At 40.0% G+C, this 6,833-nt stretch overlaps 1 annotated feature.

Annotated features, from left to right (window-relative positions):
* Window positions 259-982: an enhancer, noted in NCBI's record as "NANOG-H3K27ac hESC enhancer chr10:128379081-128379804 (GRCh37/hg19 assembly coordinates)". NCBI's record gives its function as "activates a minimal SCP1, AML or CMV promoter by ChIP-STARR-seq in naive H9 embryonic stem cells {active_cell/tissue: H9 hESC(naive)}" and the evidence as "EXISTENCE:reporter gene assay evidence [ECO:0000049][PMID:30033119]".

Raw genomic sequence — 6,833 nt, forward strand, 5'->3', positions numbered from 1 at the left:
ATACACTGGCTATTTGATTTGGGTCCTGTTTTTTTTCTTGCTGGATTTGATAGACCAGGGAACTCTCCATGGACTTCTCTCAGGTGGAATTATTTTCAGCAGAGCATGGAGTGATGTGTTGGCCTGTGCTCTCCATTTTCTCTCAGAAGCCAGTGAGTTCTGTGAACACAAAATGTCTGAGACAGATCTCAGTCAATTTAGAAAGTTTATTTGGCCAAGGTTCAGGATACATCTGTGACACAGCCTCAGGAAGCCCAAGGTGGTTGGGGGTATAGTTTGCTTCTATACATTTTAGGGAGACACGAGACATCAATTAGTATGTGTAAGATGTGCATTGGTTTGGTCCAGTAAGGCAGGACAACTTGAAGTGGGGGCTTCTAGGTTAGAAGAAGATAAGAGACAAAAGGTTGAATTCTTCTGAGTCCTTGACCAGCCTTCCACTGAATACACAATTTAGTCTGGCTCAGCGAATCTGCATTTTTACATAAACAGTAGGGGAGAGGGAGCAATCAGATATGCATTTGTCTCAGATGAGCCTCAGAGGGATGACTTTCAATGGAATGAGAGGAAGGTTTGCCCTAAGCAGTTCCCAGCTTGACTTCTCCTTTTGGCTTAGAGATTTGAGGGTATTTTTGTTAATTATTGTAGATGAGATTATTTTCTTGATTTTTTTTTTTTTGGTCACTTCATTGGTAGAGAAACACTACTGATTTTTGTATGTTGATTTTTGTGTCCTGCAAGTTTACAGAATGTAATTAATCTAACAGTTTTGGTAGAGTCTTCAGGATTGTCCTATATTTAAGATCATGTCATCTGCAAACAGAAACAATTTAACTTCTTCCTTTCTTATTTGGATGCCTTTTGTTTCTTTCTCATACCTGAGTGCTCTGGCTAGGACTTCAGTACTATGTTGAATAGAAGTGGTGAAAATGGGCATCCCTGTCTTGTTCCTGATCTTAGAGAAAAAGGTTTGCTCCAATGGTGAATAGGATGATGTTAGTGAAACAACATAGTTCCCTTGACCCTTTTGTGGGACTCGCAAAGGGGTTGGCTCATTTACTCAGCCCACAGTTCTCAACCCCTCATGGGAGGGGGAGCATCCAGGTGAGCAGGTGCAAGGGCCAGGACAAGTGCTTCTGGGTGCCAGGAGGAGTAGAACTCTTTGCGGCCCTGCAGCAGCATCTGGGGGATACCTGCAACCTTCAAAGCCCCAGAGGGTGTGTGTTACAGTGTGCTTTTTCAGCTTTGGCACACTGTATGGCTTACATGTTTAACAGCTCAGTGGAGGGTCAGTGTGACAGCCTTTTGCACTCACCCCCTTGGTATGCAAGTTCTTGTCTTGTCCAGCATCTAGCAAAAATCAGGTCACACAGGTAAATTGAAGGGTGGTGAATGTGGAGAATGTTACTGAGCAGTGGAAGTGGCTCTCAGTGGGATGGGAGCTGGAAAGGGGATGTAGTGGGAAGGTAGTCTCCTCCTGGAGTTCAGTCGTCCCCAGCTGAACTCTTCTCTGAAGTCCCACTGTCAAGCTGTCCCTCTGAAGTCAAGCTGCTTCTCTCTGCCCACTGCCCAGTGGAGCCTGGGGATTTTATGGGTACAGGATGTGGGGCTGGGAAGGGTGGGGCAGGGTGGGGCAGAGTGGTTTTGGAAAAGGCAACATTCGGGCAGGAAAACAGTTATGCATTTCTCACTTGGTCTGCAGGTCCAGGCTTGAGGGTGGGGCTTCACCAGGGACCCTCACTTCTCTGCCCAGTATTTCCCTGCCTCCTGTCCATATCATTAGCTGTGGGCTTATCATATATTATCTTTATTTTGTGGAAGTACATTCTTTTTATACCTAATTTATTGAGAGTTCTTATCATGAAAAGTTGTTAAATTTTGTCAAGTGATTTTATGCATCTATTCAGATGACTGTATGGTTTTTGTCCTTTATTCTGTTAATGTGGTATATCATATTTATTGATTTCCCTATGTTAAACCATATTTATGTAGCTGCCCAATGAGTTCATCTTGCCCGCTGCCTAGACAGAGCTGATTTATCAAGACAGAGGAATTGCAATGAAGAAAGAGTAATTAATGCAGAGCTGGCTGTGCGGGAGATGGGAGTTTTTTTATTACTCAAATCAGTCTCCCTGAGCATTTGGAGATCAGAGTTTTTAAAGATAATTTGGTGGGTAGGGGCTTGGGAAGTAAGAAGGGCTGATTGGTCAGGTGGGAGATGGAATCAAAGGGGGTCAAAGTGAGGTTTTCTTGCTGTCTTCTGTTCCTGGGTGGGATGGCAGAACTGGTTGGGCCAGATTACTGGTCTGGGTGGTGTCCACTGATCTATCCAGTGCAGAGTCTACAAAATATCTCAAGCACTGATCTTAGGAGCCAGAGGCTGCATGACCCCTGAACCATAATTTCTAATCTTGTAGCTAATGTGTTAGTGCTGCAAAGGCAGACTGGTTCCCAGGCAAGAAGGGAGTCTTTTCAGGAAAGGGCTATTATCAATTTTGTTTCAGAGTCAAACCATAAACTGAATTCCTTCCCAAAGTTAGTTTTGCCTATGTCCAGGAATGAACAAGGACAGCTTAAAGGTTAGAAGCAAGATGGAGTCTATTAGCTCTGATCTCTTTCACTGTCATAATTTCCTTAGTTATAATTTTTGCAAAGGTGGTTTCACTTACATCTCAGGGATAAATCCCACTTGACCATGGTGAATGATCCTTCTAATGTGCTATTGAATTCAGCTTGTTAATATTTTGTTTAGGATTTTTGCAGCTATGTACATCAGAGATATTGGCCTGTAGTTTTTTTTTATTGTAGTGTCCTTGTCTGGCTTTGACATCAGGGTAATGCTAGCCTCACAAAATGCGTTTGTAAGTACTCTCTCTTCTTCAATTTTTTGGAAGAGTTTCAGAAGGACTGGCATCAGTTTTTCCTTAAATGTTTTGTAGAATTCAGCAGTAAAACCATCAGTTCCTGGGATTTTCTTTGATAGGAGACTTTTTTATCACTAATTCAATCTCTTTTCTTGTTACTGGTCCACTCTGATTTTCTATTTCTTCATGATTCTGTTGTGGTAAGTGGCATGTTTCTTGGAATTTATCCATTTATTTTAGGTTACTCAATTTGTTGGCATGTAACTGTTTATAGTAGTACCTTATGATTCTTTGTGTTTCTGTGGTATCAGTTGTAATGTCTCCTCTTTCTTTTCTGGTTTTATTTATTTGAGTCTTCTCTCTTTTTTTCTTTGCCTAGCTCAAGTTTTGTCTGTTGTGTTTATCTTTTCAAAATATTAACTCTTGGTTTTATTGATCTTTTCTATTGTTTGTTTAGTCTCTTTTATTTATTTCTGCTCTAATCTTTATTATTTTCTTTCTTCTACTAACTTTGGGCTTATTTTTTTCCTACTTCCTTGAGGTATAACGTTAGGTTGGTTTATCTGAGATCTTTCTTTTTTGATGTAGGTTTTCATTGCTACAACCTTCCTCGTTAGAATTGCTTTTGCCGTATCTCGTAAGTTTTGGTATGCTGTTTCCATTTCTGTTTGTCTCAAGATATATTTAATTTTCATTTTTAATTTCTATTTTAATCCATTGGTTGTTCAGAAGTATGTTGTTTAATTTCCATATATTTGTAAATTTTCCAAAATTCCTCCCATTATTAATTTCTAGTTTCGTACTATTGTTGTCAGAAAAGATATTTGATATGACTTCAATCTTTTAAAATTTGTTAAGACTTGTTTCACGGGCTAACATATAATCTATCCTGAAAAGTGTTCTGTGTGTACTTGAGAAGAATGTGTATTCTGATGCTGTTAGGTGTAATGTTGCATATGTCTGTTAGGTCCATTTGGCTTAAAATGTAATTAAAGTCCAATGTTTCCTCATTGATTTTTCTCTCTGAATGATCTGTCCATTCTTGAAAATAGGGTATTAAAGTCCTGTACTATTATTGTGTTGTAGTCTATCTCTCCCTTCTGATCTATTTATATATTTAGGTGCTCTTGTGCATATATATATATATTCCCATTAGGTGCATACACACACACATACACACACACACAACTGTTATATCTTCTTGATGAATTAGCCACATTATTACTATATAGTGACCTTCTTTGTCTGTTTTTATGGTGTTTTGCTTAAAGTCTGTTTTATCTAATATAAATATAGCCACTCCTGATCTTTCTTGGTTTCTATTTGAATGGAGTTATCTTTTTCCATCCCTTCACTTCCAATCTATGAGTAACCTTAAAAATGAAGTGAAAGTGAGTCTCTTGTAGGCAGCATATAGTCGTGTCTTTCTTTTAACCTATCCATTCAGCCACTCTATATCTTGTAATTGGAAAATTTAATTCACTTATATTTGAGATAATTATTGTTAAAGACTTGGCTGGGTGCGGTGGATCACGCCTGTAATCCCAGCACTTTGGGAGGCCGAGGCGGGCGGATCGTGAGGTCAGGAGATCGAGACCATTCTGGCTAACATGGTGAAACCCCGTCTCTACTAAATATACAAAAAATTAGCTGGGCGTAGTGGTGGGCACCTGTATTCCCAGCTACTTGAGAGGCTGAGGCAGGAGAATGGTGTGAGCCCAGGGGGCGGAGCTTGCAGTGAGCCGAGGTTGCACCACTGCACTCCAGCCTGGGTGGCAGAGTGAGATTCTGTCTCAAAAAAAAAAAAAAAAGACTTACTATTGCCTTTTCGTTTATATTTTTCTGGTTTTTTGTAGATCCTTTGTTTCTGTCTTCCTCTCTTTCTGTCTTCCTTTGTGATTAAATAATTTTCTATAGTGGTATCCTTTGATTCCTTACCATTTATCTTTTTATGTATCTACTATAGGCTTTTGCTTTGTGGTGGCCATGAGGCTTACATAAACCACCCTTTATACTCTGGTCATTATTCATCCTTCTGATTTCAACACCACTTCTGTCTACACATGAACCCAAGTCCAGCCACAAGAGACAAATAATGGTAGGGAGAAATTAGATTCTGTGCATTTACTTGGGGCAAAGGAAAGAAACAAACACCATGATTTCAAGCATCTCTATTACTCTCACTCAATTTCCCATAGCTGCCTCATTTTATATCTCACCAGTCTCTCTATTAGTAGATACAAGGAACATTTTAATGTTTTCTTATATCTCAGCCAATTGTGTTCACAGGATGCTTCTTCCAACACTGTGATCTTTAATCTAATTAATAGGCTTAAGCCCCATTTTTATTTTCTCTTGTCTTGTCCTGCATTTGTTCTGCTTTTGTTCTATCAATCAAGTTACTATGTAGAAAGTCACTGAACTAACCGCAGCGTATTCTTCTCCAGCGCATATATCCTGGTGTCATTTATCTTGCTGTTGCTCTTTCACCTCATTTCTTTCAAGAATTACGTGAACATTCACATGTGTTAAATTAAAAATATATACAACCTTGTAACAGGGAGTTATCATTTGCATAAAATACTGCCACCTGACAGGCTTGTAAGCCATTACAGACAAGACAGGACTTAAACATGAAGCTCAAGGCTGCCTTGTCATGCACAGCAGATGTCTCCTGCAAAACTCACTGTAAGTCAAAAATACTACAGTTTGGGTCATGCTGGAAATGCATAAAAGGATGGTTTTTTTTTTTCCTCAACAAACTGGTAGTAAGTTGTTTTCTACAATTAATAATGCTTACAGAAATATTAATTACTTGTGGCCGGGCGTGGTGGCTCACGCCTGTAATCCCAGCACTTTGGGAGGTTGAGGCAGGTGGACCACAAGGTCAGGAGTTCAAGACCGGCCTGGCCAACATGGTGAAACTCTGTCTCTACTAAAAATACAAAAATTAGCCAGGTGCAGCAGCGGGCGCCTGTAATCCCAGCTACTTGGGAGGCTGAGGAAAAGAATTGCTTGAACCCGGGAGGCAGAGGTTGCAGTAAGCCGAGATTGCGACACTGCACTCCAGCCTGGGTGACAAACTGAGACTCTGTCTCAAAAAAAAAAAAAAAAAAAAAAAAAATATATATATATATATATATATATAAATTACCTGCAAAGGTAGCTCCAAGTTTAAATTGTGGCAATATTTTCTTAGGCAGGTTCTAGCTAACTGACAGCTTGCCTCTCCATAGGAGTGGCCCTTAAATCACATGATCTTTCTTGTGAGATAATTGGATCAGGGGTAAAAGTTCAATTCAAGCCTAGCCAATCAAATTCTCTCAAAGTGGCTTGGTAATCAAAATAGCTTTGTCTCTCAAAGACAGGGAGACTCAGTCAATTAGCCCTGAGAGACCAGTCAGGAAGGAAATATAGACTGAAGCCTGCCGTTTTGGGCCAACCAAGACAGAACCATGTGCATGGGTGTGATCTGAGTCTGGGCAGCAGAGAGAGCAGAAAAAAGCAGTTTGGCAGCAATAATGAAAGGGGAGAGGAAGATGCCAGAGCACCTTACCCAAGCTCACCTGCAGTTACTATAGTTAGAATCCAAAAATACTCTTTTATTCTAACTATAAATCCTGCATTACTTAGGCAGTCACACTGGCTAGTATGACTGTGTGCATCAGTGATACATTGGATGATGCTTTAGACAGTGAAGCACAAACATCCAGTGGCCTCTTATCCACTCATCTTTCTTGACACTAGAAACTTCTCCCAGGCCGTCAGCTTTACTCACTCTGCCTTCTTTTTTTCTTTCTTTCTAATTTACCAGCTGTTCATGAATGGCCTCTGGAGAAGCCTTTAGTGACACACTGCCAATTGTCTTCTATGAAAAAGCCCAAGTCCTCATGATGGGAATTTCCAAATCTTAGTGCACTCATGCCTCAGTTCTAATTAACAGAATTTTAAAGTTCAAAGGAACTTTAT

The sequence above is a fragment of the Homo sapiens genome, chromosome 10 (genome assembly GCF_000001405.40).
Source record: "Homo sapiens chromosome 10, GRCh38.p14 Primary Assembly".
NCBI classification, from domain to species: Eukaryota; Metazoa; Chordata; class Mammalia; order Primates; family Hominidae; genus Homo; species Homo sapiens.